Source organism: Homo sapiens, chromosome 1 (genome assembly GCF_000001405.40).
Source record: "Homo sapiens chromosome 1, GRCh38.p14 Primary Assembly".
NCBI classification, from domain to species: domain Eukaryota; kingdom Metazoa; phylum Chordata; class Mammalia; order Primates; family Hominidae; genus Homo; species Homo sapiens.
The window spans coordinates 121277934-121297591 of record NC_000001.11 but is presented as its reverse complement, the minus strand read 5'-3'; the positions used below and the strand labels follow the sequence as shown (position 1 = coordinate 121297591).

Here is a 19658-nt window from a genome sequence, read left to right as displayed (position 1 = left end):
ATTGAGCATCCATTAAGTCACAAACATTAGCTAGTGCTGTATATACATTATATATATCCTTAGAAGAATCCTTCAAGGTAAGTATTACTGTCAACATTTCACAGGTAAGAAATTGAGGCTAACAGGGGTAAAGTGACTTGCTTAAGGTCACAAGCTAGGAGTAGAAGAGACAAGATTCAGACCCAAGTTTTTCTGGCTCAAAGCTCTGGTTTTTCCCACACAAAGTCACAAAGCTTCCCAAAGAACTTTTAACTGAATTCTTTCTCTCTTCCAAAGACTGGATCACCCTGTCTTGCTGATTCCCAAATGGCCTTCTTGCGTCTCTTCCATTCTGCTTTACCCATGTGTGAGAAGTCCTCCCAACTCTTCCTCCAAAAAGGACTCAACAATGACCTAAGGTTCTACATGAACTGGGCCCATGCAAAACACACCAAAGAACCTTCTGTTAATTTCTGAACAAAGGCATCTTGAGCCATGGAGAAGGGAAGCCAACCCTTGCAACACCAGGTGCTACATCTGGGCAAAATCTTTCCTGAGGGAACAAACAGCTCCCAAATATGTCCAAAATGAGTGAGTGACGCACTGGTCCCAGGAAGTCAGGGGTTCTCCCTCCCGGGAGCTTCATGTTTCCTGGTACTTTCCTTCTCAAGGTCACTCCATAAGTCAATGAGGAACCTTCTGGTCTTCCACCCTTTTCCGATTTGCAACCACAACTATAACATTTTCCATGGCCAACTGACTCTATGCTTTTCAACCCAATGCTATCCTGTGAGACTGGTGAATGACTTTGAACTCAACTCCAGGGGAGGAACCCATCCGCAGTAGTGATGTAACTACAGAGATGGCGCACATTCAAATACTGGGCCTGAAGCCGAGAACACAGACTCTACAATAATTTTTCTTTAATTAATTGTGTAACTAACCTCCCACTGAAAGGAGTATTGCAGGTTGAATGTCTACCAAATTCTTAAGATACCTAGGCCCTGCTCCCTCACATCACTTCCAATAGTGACACAACTGATAACCAGCCAAACAAGAAAGTTTACTTTCTATGTCTACCTCCTTGATATTCTGCTAATTTAATATTAGTGAAAATAGGAGATTGTCTTATTCTTCTCTATCTCCAGTACTAAACCCAATTCCTGATACATAATTAGGTTCCCAAAATGTATACTCAATGATACACAAATAAATATATCATTTAAATTCCTTTATACACTCTGTAATCTGAGTATCACAGATGATACAAAGGAAGTTTCCCCTTTGTTCTTCTAAACTCTTACTATTGGAAATCACAAATATTTCCACAGTTTCAACCATCCCCTCTCTGTGCATGTGTGCAAATCTCTACCAACAGCCAAAAAATCTCTTTAGCCCTGCATACAGCCATTCATTTTGTCAACTACTAGAAATTTTAGCTTCAATACTCTTCCAACACCTTAAACTTAAAATCCAAAACCAAATTTCTCATATTTTACTCCTTCAAAAACAATTCTTTCTCCTAACTTCTGTTAAAAAAACACTAGATTTCAGCTGGGCACAGAGGCTTATGCCTGTAATCCCAGCACTTTGGGAGGCCAAGGTGTGCGGATCACCTGAGGTCAGGAGTTCAAGACCAACCTGACCAACATGGAGAAGCCCTGTCTCTACTAAAAATACAAAATTAGCCTGGCGTCATGGCGCATGCCTGTAATCCCAGCTACTCGGGAGGCTGAGGCAGGAGAATAGCTTGAACCTGGGAGGCAGAGGATGCAGTGAGCTGAGATCGTGCCATTGCACTCCAGCCTGGGCAACAAGAGCGAAACTCCATCTAAAAAAAAACCCAAACAACAACAACAACAACAACAACAACAACAAAAACAAAAAAGCCCCTCTCTATTTCTTTTAAAGATACCATTAATTTATCAATCACCCAAGTCAAAAAGACACTTTACAGACCTCTTTCTTTTATGGCTTCCAAGCTCACTTGAAACCTGAATCCCATCAGTCAGCAATTCCTGTAGATTCTTCCTGCACCAGGTGCTTTCCATCTGTCTCTAGACTGTAAGCTCTAGGAGTACAGGGGTGGGTATCTGGCATGTGTCTGGCACATGGTAAGAAGATATATATTTGCTAAATGGACAGAAGGATAAATTCCCCTTCTTTTCATTCCTACCATCCCAACCTAATTTAGATCCTTATGATCTACTGCAGCAACTGGTTTCCTTGGTCTCATGTTTCTTGTCATTTAGCAAACTACCACTAGGTTAATCTTCCTTAATCAGAATTCATACCTATTTAAACCATCAGTGGTTTCCAGTGTCTATTGTATAGAGCCAAATCCCTAATCAAGAGTCAAGGCCCTCCACAATACAAACTCATCTACCTTTGTCCACTTCTTCCACATCCACTTATTCTCCCAGCTAAACCAGTCTACTCACTGTACCTCAAAAGTGCTTTGTTCTTTCTTCTAGCTGTGCCCCTTTTTCCTAGAGTATCTTCCCCTCCCTCTCAAGAGCCATTTTCTTTAAAGCTTTGTTCAAATCTCATTTCCTTACTGAAGTTTCCTGTCTACACCAACTGAGCCTCATCTCTTCTGCAGCATATACTTAGTACTTACTACATATAGCCTTATGTTGAAGATTTGTATTCTTGTATTTGAATTTAATTTCTCCCTGACTAGATTATAATTTCATATGGGAAAGAACTACTCCTTTTATTTCTTTGGATCTCTGTCCTCTAAGAGTTTAGAACAAAACCTCTAAAATAGTCAACAAATATGTGTTGAGGAGAGAAAGAAGCTGGGAGAAACGGTGAAAAGATACTGACAGTGGGTTATAAAATAGCAGAAGGTCTCTGCAAGGAACACAGCAGGACAGAAATGTAGAAGTATTGCTCTAAAAACTCAACAGAAAAAAAAAAGCTACCTAAAAAAATGAGCTATTAAAAGCAGGAGATCAAAACCAAGTGAGCTATGACTGAAAGGTAATTTACAGGAAGTCTATTTAAAAAAAAAAAAAAACAGCCAATGCATTATCAATTAGAGTCCTGCTGGGCCATATTAACACAGATTCCACTTAAAAGAGACAATCAAAGGCTCAGCAACAAATAGGAATACATTTATGCTCTTCAAGGAGCCAAAGAAAATGCAAGAACATCTTCCCTAGAAAGGCTTCCTACCCTCGCATAATACTTTACCACTGCTCTTAATCAAACCAGGCTGACAGAATTTCAGACATTAGCAGGGTCTTCCCACAATTCACAGGGATGGGGAAAGCCATGTTACCTGTCTTAAACAAAGCAGAATAACATAGGGTCAAATAATCGCTACAGTTCTATCTGCAGCATCTCTCATTCTCTGGGGGAAGGAGAAAGAAGGAGAGGGATGGAACCAGAGGGTCAGGCTGCCATGGAGTCAGAACTGTACAGGCTTTAATGAGGATGTCTGCACTGAGCGCAATGTGGGAGAGGACAAAAGGTGAGCAGGAGCAGAGCAGAGTAGGAAGCAAAGCCAAAGGCTGACAGCGTAATGGCTTCCAGGGGAGGAGGTGTCCAAAAGATGAAGAAAGCAGTTCAGCAGCGTCCATCCCTAAATGCAATCACTTAGAACTGTAAGAAAATACCCAACCTAACGCAGTATGAGTGGCTGAAACCCAGCCAGGGTAAGAAAGTGGCCTGGAAAAGGGTGAGATGAATCCATGTGGACTGAATTCAGCCCTGGCCAACCTGCTGCATCCCAAGTTGAATAGTTTCCACGTCCCTGAGATGGGTCTGTTCAGAGTTGCTGCTGGCAGCTGCTCTCCTGGCAGTACAGGAAGACAAATTCATGGCATTGCTAGCCCAACAGCTGCTACAGCTCCGGGGGAGGTGATGAGTGCCCACTGAGATGTTCTGGGCAGAGAATGAACTATTCTGGGACCAGTCCTAGAGTCAGCAAAATCAAGGCTACAGTTCACCGACTGAAAATACAGTACTATTGTCACTCCAGAGACCCAGGAAACCAAGAGCACTTTCTCTGTCCCAGCTTCTTTGAATTCCATTAATTCTTGTCCTCACACTTGGCCCCATCTTGTCTATTTCCAAGGGTATGACCTCAGTTTCAGCCCACATTAACCTCACCACTGGACTCCTTTCTTAACAGGTCCTCCTCCTTCCAGTCTCTCTGCTCCAATTGATCATATGCATCGTTGCCATAGTTACCCTTCGAAAGCACAGCCATAATTATGTTCCTTGCTCAAAAACTATCAATGGTCCCCCATGCTTACAGAATAAAGCCCGAACCCTGTCGCCTGGCATTCATAGACCTCTTTAATCTTCTGGCCCCTATCTTTTCCAGGTTTATTTCACTATCACATTTATAATTCCTGTTCTTCAGCAAAACAGATAAGTTATCCATCAGCGTTTGTTCTCACTTCTGTTAGCCTTTTCTAATACTGCTCTATCTAAAATGCTTCCTTTCCCATCTTTTCACCTTCTTTCTACAACTTCTCCATTGTCTCAACTGTATTAAACTTAAAGGATCAATGCCTAGCATTGGCACTTTAATTTTTTTATCTCCCATCCATTGAACTTGACCTCCCTAAAGCCCTCTCCAGTCCTCCAATCAGAAGAAATCTGTCTTCTTTGTGCACCTGTGGCACTCTGTATGGATGGGTGGCCATGGTCTTTCCTACACTTGTCCTTTCATACACCATGGCAGATGCTGCTGATTGTCCCCCAATATTTCCCCTTCTTCTATATTAAGAGAAACTCTACTTTATAGTCACCCAGAACAATAACTACACTTCCCAGCCTCCCTTGCAGTTCAGCATAACCATGTGACTAAGTTCTGGCCAGTCAGATATGAGTTGAAGAGCTGTGTGTGCCACTTCCAGAGTGCACCTTTAAAAAATAAGGCCATACCTTCCCCTCGTCCTGTTGCCTTTTCCTGCTGGCTGGAATGAGAACATGGTGGCAGTGAGCCATCTTGGGTCATACAGAAAAGGATAACACTCTCGGGATGGAATAAGAAGCCTGACAGCCCTGGATGGCTAACACCTAGACTATGACATCAGAGAAAAATCAACCTCTATCTTGTGTATGCCATTATTACTTGGGGTCTATTACATCAGCCAAACTTATATCTTTACCAAATCAGACATGCCTAAGATGCCTTTCCTATGCCAATGTCAAATTTTCAGTTGCCAGCAAATGTTTCAAGCTTGTCTTAGTGCTGCTGACTGCCAGGTACCAATTCTGTTTCAGCAGGATGGTTGTCTCTGCACAGCAATGCTTGTGCTGTGCACACATTTTAACACTTGGTTATCTTTTGCAACACAAAAATGAGTGGAAATGGAAAAACAAAAGTGCTGTTACTAATGTTGCATTGAGAAGTAGAGGTCTCATCACTGTACTACTAAGATAAGGGCAGAACTCATCAGCTACGTGGACTCTTTAGGTATTCACTGAACTTGAGCAGGCAGGCCATGAGTTTAATGGCGGAAAAACAAACAGAACTAAAGACAAGGTATACAATGCTAAAAATATATCAGGTGAGGGATAATTTGGAATTTCACATATACACTTATTTATAATAATAGAACCTACCTACCCCACATAAAACTGTAGTTAGACATTCAACCATTTGACTTCTGTATACACTTTTAGGAATAAATTATGCATGAAAGTAGGATGTTGCCTGAGCCTCTCTTATTGAGTTTCTCACCACCTTGCCTGTATTAAATGCATTTGTACATATGTTCTATCTCCTCTTCTACCAGGCTGTACCATATGAAATTGCCATTTTGCCTTACAAAAAAAACCAGCAATTTCATATGTTTCACCCTAAGAGATTGAAAACATTTGGGTTTGGGGCTTGTTTTAGTCATCTTTGCATCTCTCACAATACCTTATACATGAGAGAGTATCAATAAGAAATTGCTCTTACAGATCTTCTACTTAAAACACTTCTAGTTCCATCAGACGCCACTTTCCCACCTTACCTTCTACCCTTTGCCTTAAAAAACAAAACTATTCTCTCTCTCTTCAGGTAGCTTTTGCTTCTCCTCATAGTAACTTTTACTACCAATGCAAAACTTTTATTGTCTAAGCCTGGGGTCCTGGATTTAGCTCTTTGTTCTCCTCTTTCTCTTCCCTGAATTCATATACTTTCATCTCTCCCACAATCACTTTTACTCCGAAGATTCTGCTAGCTATCCCCAGTCATAACCTCTTACCTCAGCAGTATGCCGTCTCCACCTGGATACCTGATGGCCTCGTACTGCTCTACACCCAAAATGTTCAAAGTAGGATCACCATTCAAAACAGATCTTCCCTCAACACCCCCACTTCTATCGTGAATGCCACAATTCTTCTAGGTCACCAGGGTAGAGACACTGGGTCACCTCTGACCATTATGGTTCTATGCTTTATCCAGTCAGTTATCCAGTCCTATTTAGTTTCTTGAATACCTTCTGAATATATTCCTACTTCCTTTCCACTCCCCCCACTTTTTTTTTTTTTGCTCTTACTTTGTGTGTAGATTACCCCAAAACCTTCATCCTGGCCTTCTGTTTTCCTCGTGTCTCTCTCCCCACCTAAGAACCCAGAGGACCCACTAAAATGCTGCCACACCCAATCTGAACTTCTCTGCTTGCTATCAAAGGGCTATCATTTGGGGTCTACTCTACTTATTTAACCTTATTTTCCACTGCTCTTGAAAATAGCTGTGTTCTCATATCTCTACTAAAGCTCTTTTCACATTATACTATTTACATAGCTCTTTTCCCTGTTAACCAGGGATTTTTTTTTTTTTTTAGACACAGGGTCTCACTCTGTCACCCAGGCTGGTGTGCAGCGGTGCAGTCATAGCTCACTGTAGGCTCCAACTCCTGGAGTGAAGCGATCTTCCCACCTCCTGAGAAGTTAGGACTACAGGCGTGCATCACCATGCTGAGCTAATTTTTTATTTTTTGTAGAGATGGGTTCTTGCTATGTTGCCTAGGCTGGTCTCAAACTCCTGGCCTCAGGAGATCCTCCTATCTTACCCTCTCAAAGTGCTGGGGTTACAGGCATAAGTCACCATGCTCCGCTTAAACAGGAATTCCTAAGTTTATGTTAGTTCCTATAGGAATCAACACAGAGCACAGTACTCAGTAGGTATTTAAAAGTAATTTGTTGAATAAGTAGACTGATTGTTACCCAGAATACGATCAGGCAGGAAGCTATTGGAGTAAACCAGCTATAAAGTGGAAAAGTTGCCCTCTTCCAGGTTCTTGTGCCACCTTGTATTAAATACTTTCCTTCCACAACACTTACCCCAACTTTAAATTACATATCTAATTGTGTGATTTGTTAAATGCCCATTTCTTCATCTAAGTGCTAAGTGCTAAGTGTAGCAATTTGTTCCCTGCTACACTCCAAGGCACAAAGGAGTTCAAGGAATGTGCAATGGAAATCAGTTAGATGAATGTGTTAGGAACCTTCCCTTTAATAAAGCTGGATCCCACACTAGCCCCTACACCCTCTCATCACCAAATATTCCTGCTTCCTCTCACCTGCACTTGCTGTTCTCTCCTCTGCCACACAAATCTACCTCTCAAGCCTAGGTCCCACCTGCTTCATGACAACTTTCCAGACTATTCCAGAACCTTTAACCATCTCTGACCTCTCATCAGATCTATGTTGTACATAACACCAATTAATGAGATCATTACTGCTTTATGCTCTAATTGCTTCCTGTATTCAAAATCTTCTCTCCAACCACATAATGACTCCCTAAACTTCTCTTGTATTTTCCAATGCCTTGTACAAGCACAGAACTGGTCAATCAATAAATACTCACTGGTTATTTGAGGAAAAAATGTTGCCAAGCACCATCTTTATCAGAAAATAAATCAATTCTTCTAAACTTGGAGAAATCACCCTATTCCTAGTATGTGATCTTAATTAGAACAATTCAGATTGAGAGGTGACAGCATGCTGGCAGTCCTCAGAGCCCTCGCTTGCTCTCGGCACCTCCCCTGCCTGGGCTCCCACTTTGGTGGCATTTGAGGAGCCCTTCAGCCTCCCCCCTGCACTGTGGGAGCCCCTTTCTGGGCTGGCCAAGGCTGGAGCCCACTCCCTCAGCTTGCAGGGAGGTGTGGAGGGAGAGGCACGAGCGGGAACCGGGGCTGCGTGCGGCGCTTGCGGGCCAGCTGGAGTTCCGGGTGGGCGTGGGCTTGGTGGGCCCCGCACTCGGAGCAGCCAGCCAGCCCTGCTGGCCCCGGGCAATGGGGGACTTAGCACCCGGGCCAGTGGCTGCGGAGGGTGTACTGAGTCCCCCAGCAGTGCCGGACCATCGGCGCTGTGCTCGATTTCTCGCTGGGCCTTAGCTGCCTTCCCGCGGGGCAGGGCTCAGGACCTGCAGCCCGCCATGTCTGAGCCTCCCACCCACTCCATGGGCTCCTGTGCGGCCGGAGCCTCCCCGACGAGCACCACCCCCTGCTCCATGGCGCCCAGTCCCATCGACCACCCAAGGGCTGAGGAATGCGAGCGCACAGCGCAGGACTGGCAGGCAGCTCCACCTGCAGCCCCGGTGCGGGATCCACTAGATGAAGCCAACTGGGCTCCTGAGTCTGGTGGGGACGTGGAGAGTCTTTATATGTAGCTCAGGGATTGTAAATACACCAATCAGCACCCTGTGTTTAGCTCAAGGTTTGTGAGTGCACCAATCGACACTCTGTATCTAGTTGCTCTAGTGAGGACGTGGAGAACCTTTATGTCTAGCTCAAGGACTGTAAATACACCAATCGGCACTCTGAATCTAGCTCAAGGTTTGTAAATACACCAATCAGCACCCTGTGTTTAGCTCAAGATTTGTGAGTGCACCAATCGACACTCTGTATCTAGCTGCTCTGGTGAGGATGTGGAGAACCTTTATGTCTAGCTCAGAGATTGTAAATACACCAATCGGCACTCTATATCTAGCTCAAGGTTTGTAAACACACCAATCAGCACCCTGTGTTTAGCTCAAGGTTTGTAAGTGCACCAATCGACACTCTGTATCTAGCTGCTCTGGTGAGGACGTGGAGAACCTTTATGTCTAGCTCAAGGACTGTAAGTACACCAATCGGCACTCTGAATCTAGCTCAAGGTTTGTAAATACACCAATCAGCACCCTGTGTTTAGCTCAAGATTTGTGAGTGCACCAATCGACACTCTGTATCTAGCTGCTCTGGTGAGGATGTGGAGAACCTTTATGTCTAGCTCAGAGATTGTAAATACACCAATCGGCACTCTGTATCTAGCTCAAGGTTTGTAAACACACCAATCAGCACCCTGTGTTTAGCTCAAGGTTGGTGAATGCACCAATCGACACTCTGTATCTAGCTGCTCTGGTGGGGCCTTAGAGAACCTGTGTGTCAAAACTCTGTATCTAACTAATCTGATGGGGAGGTGGAGAACCTTTGTATCTATCTCAGGGATTGTAAATGCACCAATCAGCACCCTGACAAAACAGGCCACTCGGCTCTACCAATCAGCAGGATGTGGGTGGGGCCAGATAAGAGACTAAAAGCAGGCTGCCCGAGCCAACATTGGCAACCCGCTCGGGTCCCCTTCCACACGGTGGAAGGTTTGTTCTTTTGCTTTTTGCAATAAATCTTGCTAGTGCTCACTTTTTGGGTCCATGCTGCTTTTATGAGCTGTAACACTCACTGCAAAGATCTGCAGCTTCACTCCTGAGCCCAGCGAGACCACAAGCCCACCGGGAGGAATGAACAACTCCAGACGCGCTGCCTTAAGAGCTGTAACACTCACCGTGAAGGTCTGCAGCTTCACTCCTGAGCCAGCGAGACCATGAACCCACCAGAAGGAAGAAACTCCAAACACATCTGAACATCAGAAGGGACAGACTCCAGACACACCACCTTAAGAGCTGTAACACTCACCGCGAGGGTCCGCGGCCTCATTCTTGAAGTCAGTGAGACCAAGTACCCACCAATTCCGGACACAAGATGACTTGGAGATTAACACATCTGAACCTTAATTTGTAACAAATACGTCCATAAGCTGAGAATATGATATAGTACTAAAAATCAAATGCTATTTTAAATTTAGGATGAGATTACCAACAGAATAAATCCAACTTTGAATCATTTTCTAAAGCAAATGATTCCTCCCCTAAGTCTTCATTTATCACATACTAAAATAACATTTTTTTATCAGATGATTCTCTTATCATAAAGAGAATAAGACTTGGGAAAGATAAGAAACTCTGAGGAAAAAAACATCTGGAGGAAATTTTCATTCTGGCTTATTTTGAGATGTCATGTTCTCCTCAACCTTAACCCCATCTTCATTGCACAGAGCTGGCTTTTAAAGGATAATTTGTGTCCTGTATTATTAAGGCAATAAACAAAAATAGAAAATGGGGAAAATAAGATACACTTGGCACTAATTTCAAATTCATTCATTCATTTATTTATTCCACAATATTTAGTGAGCATCTACTATACACCACATATTATACTAGGCACTGTGGGACACCAGAAGATCAAACAAACTTATACAGTCCACTCAGAGAAGATAACAGAAGGTAGATAGTGCTGAATGCCCTAAGAGAAGAACAAATAAAATGCTGTAAGAATTCAGAAGATGGAGAACATTCTTCCTTCTGGGAGAATCAGGAAAGTTTCCTGGAACAGGGAGCACCTGAGATGGGTCTTAAGACATGGGCATGGCTTAGACATGCAAAGATGGAAAGACTGACCACATAACCTCAAGTAACAGGATGCCAGTGACCCACTGGAGTGAATGTTCTGTTTGGCTCGGGTATAGTGGAACAGAAACAAGAAATAAGGTTGGAAACCTGTTTGAGGCTTTCCAGATGTAGAGGGGCTTAAAGACCAAGCCAAAAAGCGTGCACCTTTGTGAATGGAACAGCATTTCCCAAATGTCAATGTGCACACAAATCACATGCTATGTTGTGGGATCTTGTTATAGTAGGACTGGAGTAGGACCTGAGATACTGCATTTCTAACAGTACAGATGATGCTGACACTGAGAAACTACAATTTGATATCAAAAACATAGATGGGCTGGGTGTGGTGGCTCACACCTGTAATTCCAGCACTTTGGAAGGATGAGGTGGGAGGATCACTTAAGGCCAGGAGTTTGAGACCAAACTGGGCAACATAGCGAAACCCTGTGTCTACAAAAATTAAAATAAAATAAAAATAGCTGGGTATGATGGTGCACACCTGCAGTCCCAGCTACTCAGGAGGTAGGCTGAGGCAGGAGGATCACTAGAGCCCAAGAGTTTGAGGCTGCAGGGAGCCAAGATCACGCTATTGTACTTCAGCCTGGGTGACAGAGCAAGACCTTATTTCTAAAAATAATAATAATCATAATAAAAAGAACATAGACAATGGAGAGACATTGAAAGTTTTGCAGAAAGAAATTCTCTGATCGCCAGTGTGTTCCAGGAAGATTAACTCCGATCACAATGGAGCAGGCAGATTGGAATGGAGAGAAACTGTAGACCAAGCTTGTCCAACCTATGGCCTGTGGGCTGCATGGGGGCCAGGATGGCTTTGAATGCAACCCAACGGAAATTTGTAAACTTTCTTAAAATATTATGACTTTTTTTGCAATTTTTTTTAAGCTCATCAGCTATTGTATTAGCATATTTTATGGGTGGCCCAAGACAATTCTTCTTCTTCCAATGTGGCCCAGGGAGAACAAAAGATTGGACACCCCTGCTGTGGACTGTGATCCTCAATGCTGGCTGTTCATTAGAATCACCTGGGAAGCTTTTACACCACCCTGTTACCCAGGCCTCACTCCCAGAGATTCTCATTTAATTGGTCTGGAGTGGGGCCCAGATTTCTGTATTTTTTTTAAAGTTCTCCAGGGAATTCTAATATGCAGCCAGGGTTGAAAATCTCTGCTATAGAAGATATAGTAAATACTGCAATCATTCAGGCAAAAAAGATGATGATCTAAACTAGGGCAATGGCACTGGGAACCAAGTGAATGGGCCAGCTGTATAAAATAAACTAAATGTAGAAGAAATAGACCTTAGCAGCTACCTAGACAGGGATTTAGATATAATGGCCTCAACATCATTTATTTCTTCTAATTAAAGACAGTTTGGTGAAATGGTTAAAAATATAGACCCTGCAGCCCAATTCCAGCTCTACTATTTACTAGGGGTGTGTGAGTGTGAGTGTGTGTGTGTGTGTGTGTGAGAGAGAGAGAGACAGAGATTAAGATAGACCCTGAGTTAAGCCCCTTAACCTTTTTATGCCTCAGTTTCCTCATCTATAAATTGGGGATAATAACAATAACCATCATATGGAGTTGTTGGGATTAAGCAAACTAACATATATGTAAAGCCCTTAGTAACATGCCTGGCAACAGAGCTATAAACAAGTTTGCTGTTATTATTAGCATGGTTCATCATCTACTCTCATCTCTATGAAATGTTGAATTGCACATAAGACTGATCTGGAAAATGAGAAGTCCTTGAGGGCTTTCAACCAATCTGAAGCCAGGGGCTCCTGAATTCAGCTGGATCTAAGTGGCATACCCTGCCCCCCTCCACCCTGGACCCCATATTCCAAGGTCTCAGAGAGTAATAGCCACAGAGCCCCTACTTGAATTGCTGGTCCTTGGTGCTGCGTGTCTTGGCCAGGAAGTGTTCTGCCAGCTTCTCCAGGTTGCGGGAGTAGTCCATCTCAATCTCTGCCTTCTTTCGGAAGAAGTCCTGGAGGTCCTGCAACAGTTGCACCCGAAGCTCACACTGCTGGTCCAGGCATTTCATCTGCTCTGTGAGCTGAGCACGGATCTCTACAACAAAAACAAGAGAAGACAGTCAGAAAGACAGCCCTAAATAAACCACCATGCATGCCAATATTCACCCACCTTCCACTTACTTATTCCCCGTGCCCTGGGAAATTGAAAGCCCTGAACAAAAAAGCCTAAAGTCTAAACTGGCCATAGGATGTGAGGCACCTCCAAAAATGCCAACCCTTTTTACACCATTAAAGAACATTGTGAACCAGGAATCTGCTGAATCACTTATGAGAAGCTGCTTATTAAAAATAATAACATTCCTATCTACCATTTATATTACTATGTTTCTAGTGGCACAGAGCCAGAATCTGGGTTGTCTTCTGGCAGAGGGCCCAAATGAATTATCACCCCAACCATCCTATGAGGCAGGTACTACCTCATCCCCATTTTAAAAATGAGAAAACAGAGTCTTGAAGAAGTCAAACTTTTAAGTGGTGAAGCTGGGATTCAAACCCCAAGAGACTGACTTTAGAGACCATGCTCCTACTTTTTGCATTTTTCCCCATCATTTCAAAATGTTGTTTACCATCTTCATGAAGTAGGATGAAGGTCAGGATATTTTAATGGAGATAGGAAGAAAATCTCCCAAGGTCAAATGGTAGCAATCAAAACAAAAGAAGCACAAGAACTTCTGGGCAGGCAAACCATTCACTGTCAATCAGATTTCACAGTTTCCAATATCACAGAATGAAAATCATTTTTTAAGAAGACTTGGAAAGAGTTTTTTTCACTAACAAATATCACTCATATCTGTGTTGCTTAATCTTCATAGATGCTGTAGTGCCTCTATAGTGTCATAGCTAGAAATACTTCTGGTTAAGCTCTAGCATGCAGATTTCTGGCTGGTCAGGGTCCTTGTATGGAGCTAGCAAACACTCTCTCTGGAACTGCTGCAAAGGCAGCTATAGATGCAAACAGATTTGCCTCAAATGCAGCACTGCATTTGTTACTGACAAGAGACCTGGCACTCACAGGAAGCAGTATGCCAAAGCCAGACTGATTTTCAGCTCAGAGAAGGCTTGCAGTGTGTATCCTGCTGAAGTTATGTCCCAATCCCCATCTGAGTCAGAATGGAGCCATTTCTTTCATCTTTTCCCTCTGCAAGCCTGCTCAGCTCCAAATGCATTAGGATGTGACAGTGACTCCAATCCCACAGAAAAGGAGCACCTATATTATGCCTTTCCTTATGTGTGCCCCAAATTCATTCCCAAATAGTACAGTTGCAACAATGCTTTCTGTCTATGCTATGTAATGCTATGTAATGCATCATTATGGGGAGAGGGGGTCTAGAGTTTTCATGTGAGCTGCAGATAAATCAGAGGCAAATCAGGATCAGAACTATGATGCTGAAATGTTCTTGAAGCAATGAGGATGGGTAAATGGTGCGTTTAGCTTTGCCTTAAAGTAGTCGAGGCTCCACAATCTGTCCCCATCTACATTTTTGTTTCTGTTTTTACAAATATCAGTATGTCCTTTGCAGATGATCTCAGGTGATCTGTAAGCGCAATTCTCACCCTCTTCATCCTCATCTCTCTCCCTGTCAACCACCAATGCCAACCAGCCCTGCAGTAACCTCACCTGAACTGAAACTGAGCTCCGGAGGATTGTTTCAAGCAGACAGAAGGCTGTGCAGAAAAGCTGCCTACCTCATCACTCATCAAAGCTCTCTTGTTCTGTGTTTTACAGAGTCTGATTACAAGGGTATTGGGGGTAAAGATCTGCAGAGGTTATGTCAGGCATCTGGTTCTTGCCAGGGATTTCTGGGTCTCTTAAAGGGAACAGCCCTTGTTGAGACTATTCCTGTAGGCATCTGTCCCCCTTCAATATATTAGTGAAAAGCTGATAGTAATAGCCATTGGGTGGGCAGACTGTACATTGAGAGGGCATTCAGAATGCTTACTAATATTACTTAAATTCCATCCGTTCAGTAAGAACCAAGTGCCAGGTGCGGTGGCTCACGCCTGTAATCCCAGCACTTTGGGAGGCCGAGGCGGGCGGATCACAAGGTCAGAAGATCGAGACCATCCTGGCTAACATGGTGAAACCCTGTCTCTACTAAAAATACAAAAAAAAAATTAGCCAGGCATGGTGGCAGGTGCCTGTGGTCCCAGCTACTGGGGAGGCTGAGGTGGGAGAATGGCGTGAACCCGGGAGGCGGAGTTTGCACTGAGCAGAGATCGCACCACTGCACTCCAGCCTGGGCGACAGAGCGAGACTCCGTCTCAAACAAACAACAAAAAAAAGAACCAAGGCGTTTTTAGGGTGGAAAGGCTTTCCAGGTACTGAATCAGTAACAGATGTACAGGGGATATGGATGGGCAGTAAGGCTGTCAGGTCCCTCTGAGTCCCCTGTAATGCACTTAAGAATTTACCTCAGTAATCTCACTCACCAGGGGAATAGAAAGGAATAGTTAGTTGGATGACACCCACCCTCTGCCAAAAAAAGAGAGGACAAGGCAAAGTCCCATGAAGTTCCAGAAGTAGGCCACTCCAGAGTTAGCCTGTCCAAGGAACAAGTACTTAATAGGAGGCCTCTGAGATATGTGATTTAATATAAGAAACCCCCAAGCACATCCAGCCAGCAAGGAATTCCAGCCTGATTTTGCAGGTGCCTCAATGAGGGCAGCAGAGTATATGCTGCATCACAGGTACTCCCTCTGGAACCCTGAAGGGATGGGAGCATGTGTTTATTGAATACATTTTATAGGCCTTTCTATGTATCATCTCATTTAATTCTCACAGGTAGTCTGTAAGGTATCCACAATTATCCTGATTACACTAAGGAGAAAACTGAAGTAAGACTCTTTAAGTAATTTACCAAAGGGTCAACAATTATGCAACAGGAGCTGGAGCTAAATTAAGGTTTGTCTGACTTGTCAAAGAGGTTAATAGTAGGTCAGAGAAACAAAAACAAGAGAAATAGAACACCAGTTTGGAGTCTCTGAAAGTATCTCTGTGTAAATCACAGTGACCATGACTCTTAACTCCTGGAACATCGCCTTTTCCACTTTCCAGCTGAGGGTTGATTCAGGCCCCTAAGACAAGTTTGGACTTGCCCACCGACTCACCAGCTAGCTCTGTTTCAATCTGTCCACAACCACACTGGATCCCTTCCCCACTTCCTAGATCTACTCTACAGGACAGCTTAGGGGGAAGTGCTTTTCTTGTCCTGTGAGTACACCCTGAGGTCTACCAGGAAGCCCAGAGGACAGAGACAGTAAGAAAGCAATATCCCCACCCCTGATCCAGGAAAAAAAAGAGGCTCTGTTAATAGATACCACCTGCTAGTGTGGTTTATTTGTGATATGACACCATGAGCATCTCCCCTCCCTCACAACTGGCCAAAAAGAAGAAGAGGAAGAGGAAGAAGAAGAAGGAGGAAAAGGAAGGAAGAACAGGAGGTGGAGAAGGAGAAGGAAAAGGAGGAGAAAAAGAAAGAAGAAAGAGAATGAAGAAGGAAGAAGGAAAAAGAAGAAAGGAAGCAGAAAGAAGAAGATGCCTCCCTTGTTACCATCTTCAAAGCATCCATACAGGCATTAAGGGAAATTCTAACTACTCTCACTCTTAGGCGTACAGCTCCAAGACAGAACAGTTGTTCTATCCAGGGAAAAATGTGCTGCCTTAGGCGCTGCTGCTGCTGCTACTCCTACAAAGACAAACAATGGTCCCCAAGAAGGCAGCTATGCTGGCCCCAGTCCCCGTTCATGCACACAAGGGGCAGGAAACAATGGGCCACTGAATACCAGCACTCCTGGGCCATGTGCCCAGGCTGAAGGCCCCTCTGAACCCTGGCCTATCAACAAACAAAAGGGCAGAAAGAAGAAAGAGGCAATTTAAAAACATAGAGGAACTCCTCACAGTTCCCTCATGTGCTTAGGCGATCATGCATGTGCACATCATGTGTACACACTCAAAGACTCACACCACTCATACCACTTACACCATGCTTCACGATACCAACTCAAGAAGGCTTTACACATCTGGTTTACAGTTGGATGAGAATTCTTGGGAGCTATGGAGATGGTGGGGTCCTTGCCAGTTCCTTCCCTAGAAATACATGGAAAGAAGTCAAGCTCTCACTTTCTAGAAGCAGCTATATCTTAGGGGTACAAAAGAATTCCCTGGCTATTCACAAAGCCAAAGTACTAAGGTCGCCATGAGTCACCTGGAGTGATATATACATCCAAACAGCCTCCCCTGAGTGCCCAGTAGAGCCCATTTATTCAGCAAATCTTACTGAGCCTTTCCTGTATGGAGGCACTGTGCTAGGTGATGGTGACAAAGGAGGAAAAGACAGGTCTAAGCTCTGTCTAAAGAGGCATGGCTTGACAAAGAAGAGAAAGGACAAGAGAACACAAAAAGTCTTATTGTTTCTGCTTTAAATATTCTTTATTATAACAAAGCTGTGGTAATAAGCCCCAACCTGAAGATCTAATATTTAAAAATCATCAATAGCGGAAAGAAATCACATAACAGGGCTAAGAAAAATCCAATGTCCTCTATCATTTTTTCTTATTATGTTTTTTTAAAAATGACACTTGAATAAAAATTGCAGCTTCCCTTGCAAGAGGAACCCAATTTTTTTAAAAGGTTCCTGAGAATCAGAGTTGACCTCTGGTTGATATTTCATGCAGAGATTCAAGACAAATTTAAACCTCCCTGTTTTGAAATTAAGATAGTGATGATTGTTGCTCAACCTTGTGAATATGTTTAAAAAATTGAATTGTACACTTTAAAAGAGTGAATTTTACAGTATGTGAATTATATCTCACTGAAAAAAAAGATTAAAAAATTCAACCCCACCACATAGCATATTCTGTTGAGCACCATCTGCCAGTGAAGGGGAAAATAACCCAACAAACAGGAGCCAAAAGGAGGAACGGATTCTTGGTTTCCATTTCCCCGTGTGTATGAATTAAACACATTCTGCATTGACTATTCCTAAAGCAAATCTTGGAAGCTGCCCCTCTGGGCCGTAGGCTTGGCCATGACATTGAACTCCACTGGCAGATCACCATTTCCAAACGATGTCAGATAAAGACCTGCCAGGGAGTGTTTTTATATGTGAATTCAAATCCAGCATCACCAGACACACCCATGAAGCTTCCCCTGGGAAATGCTGCCTCCTTGCCCATGCTTGGCCACAGCTGAGACACTAACTATACTCGTCCTAGTATTTAGAAAGAGGCTTATTTCCTTTTTAGAAAGATGCTGAAGGGTCTCAATAAGCATGCAACTGGCAGAAAAACTAGCCCTAATAGGATACTGATCATTTAACAAAAACAGGCAGGGCCCTGCCACACTGACAATCATGTAGACTCCAAATTACAACACCTGCCAATGCAGATGACACAGTCCTCTGAAAACTGCCCTCACTTCAGAGAACATCCAGGGAATTCAACAGTCAGCAGAGTACAGGGGGTGAGGGAGTGGGGGTGTTCAGCCTATTGCTTTGAATCCAGAGATCCCTTTCTTTCCTCCTTTCAAAATTCATCTTCTTCTTCAGGAATTTTCTCTGATTAAGTCATGAATACCACATTTCTAAGGAGAAAATGGGGGAGGAAGGGCAGGCCAGGAGACAGATGTAATCTTTCAGGAGAGTCACACAGGCATGTCCTTCCTTTCTCCTTGATGTGCCAGCACCCAGGGGGCAGGAGCTGCATCTCCCACAGGCTCTGTTGCCAGCACGTGGAGCAGATCAGCCCGCGCTCCCCATTGGGAACCTGGTCTGACTGCCAGTCTTTTTCCACCCAATCTGCCTCACCTGCTTTTAGCCCCTTCACAAACACATGATGTCACCTCAGCCATCTCAGGAATATTAATTCCTAGTACCTTTCCAGAGAATGTTACATAAGAATACAATTGAGGCTTTCAGGCGCTACCCTCCATATCTCTTACCAAGACTTCTTATCACAACAGTAATCAGCCCCTCTCAAAACTGTTCCTCAGGAAACAAAATACCAGAATGCCCTGCCAAGTCTTGCTCTCTACTCTGCTAGTTTGCCTTTCTATGAACTTAGTAAAGGGAGGACTCAAAAATCCTTGCTGGACAGATGTGAGAACCAAAGCTCAGAGCAGCAAAGGGGATTGACCAAGATCACACAGCTATTTAGTTGCAGATCCAAGACTGAAATCCAAGTCACTGAGTTCCCAATGTCCTTTCCTACTTTTACTTACTCTCATTGCAAACATCTATTTGAGTGCCTTCCGGGTGCTCTGGGAATACAGACAAAAAGTTCTTCCTCAAAGTTAGCAGGGTAGTGGAGAAGAAAGAAGAAAAAAACGGTAACAAACAAGGTTAAATAATAATATAAACAAATGAGTATGCGCACAGAGCAGAGAGAGAGACACAGCACCACCCTCAATGTGTTATATGTGCTATAACACATCCTCAGTGACTGACATTACTTACCTATGAGTAGTCAGTTTCCAAGAAAAGGCCATCAAGATACTTTCAGTAAACTAGGAAACAGCAAATATTCTTCCTCAAAGAGTGTGACTGATAGTCTTTTTCTGCATTACTTTACTCTATTAAGTAAGGCACAAAACAGGCCAGGCACAGTGGCTCACCCCTGTAATCCCAGGACTTTGGGAAGCCGAGGTGGGCCGATTACTAGAGCTCAGGAGTTCCAGACGAGCCTGGGCAACATGGCAAAATCCCAGCTCTACAAATTTTTTTTTTAAGTTAGCTGGCGGGGGGAGGTGGTGCATGCCTTTAGTCCCAGCTACTTGGGAGGCTGAGGTGGGAGGCTTGCTTGAGCCCAGGAGGTCAAGGCCACAGTGAGCCGTGATTGTGCCACTATACTCCAGCCTGGGTGACAGAGCAACACCCTGTCTCAAAAAACTAAATACATAAGGCACAA

The 19658-nt window shown here is 43.7% G+C and overlaps 1 protein-coding gene across 2 annotated transcripts in view, besides 2 other annotated features; it reads right to left on the bottom strand.

Annotated features, from left to right (window-relative positions):
- The window catches only part of SRGAP2C (SLIT-ROBO Rho GTPase activating protein 2C), a 207900-nt gene that overhangs the window by 95283 nt on the left and 92959 nt on the right, over positions 1-19658 (bottom strand). For both annotated transcript variants that reach the window (NM_001329984.2, NM_001271872.3), the window contains exon 3: positions 12597-12789. In NM_001329984.2, coding sequence (NP_001316913.1) covers positions 12597-12789 — 193 coding nt within the window. The remainder of the gene's footprint in view (positions 1-12596; positions 12790-19658) is intronic.
- Positions 18245-18539: a silencer, noted in NCBI's record as "tiled region #356 duplicate 1; HepG2 Repressive non-DNase unmatched - State 14:Gen5'". NCBI's record gives its function as "represses a minimal TATA promoter and a strong SV40 promoter by Sharpr-MPRA in HepG2 cells {active_cell/tissue: HepG2}" and the evidence as "EXISTENCE:reporter gene assay evidence [ECO:0000049][PMID:27701403]".
- Positions 18605-18899: a silencer, noted in NCBI's record as "tiled region #15698 duplicate 1; HepG2 Repressive DNase unmatched - State 14:Gen5'". NCBI's record gives its function as "represses a minimal TATA promoter and a strong SV40 promoter by Sharpr-MPRA in HepG2 cells {active_cell/tissue: HepG2}" and the evidence as "EXISTENCE:reporter gene assay evidence [ECO:0000049][PMID:27701403]".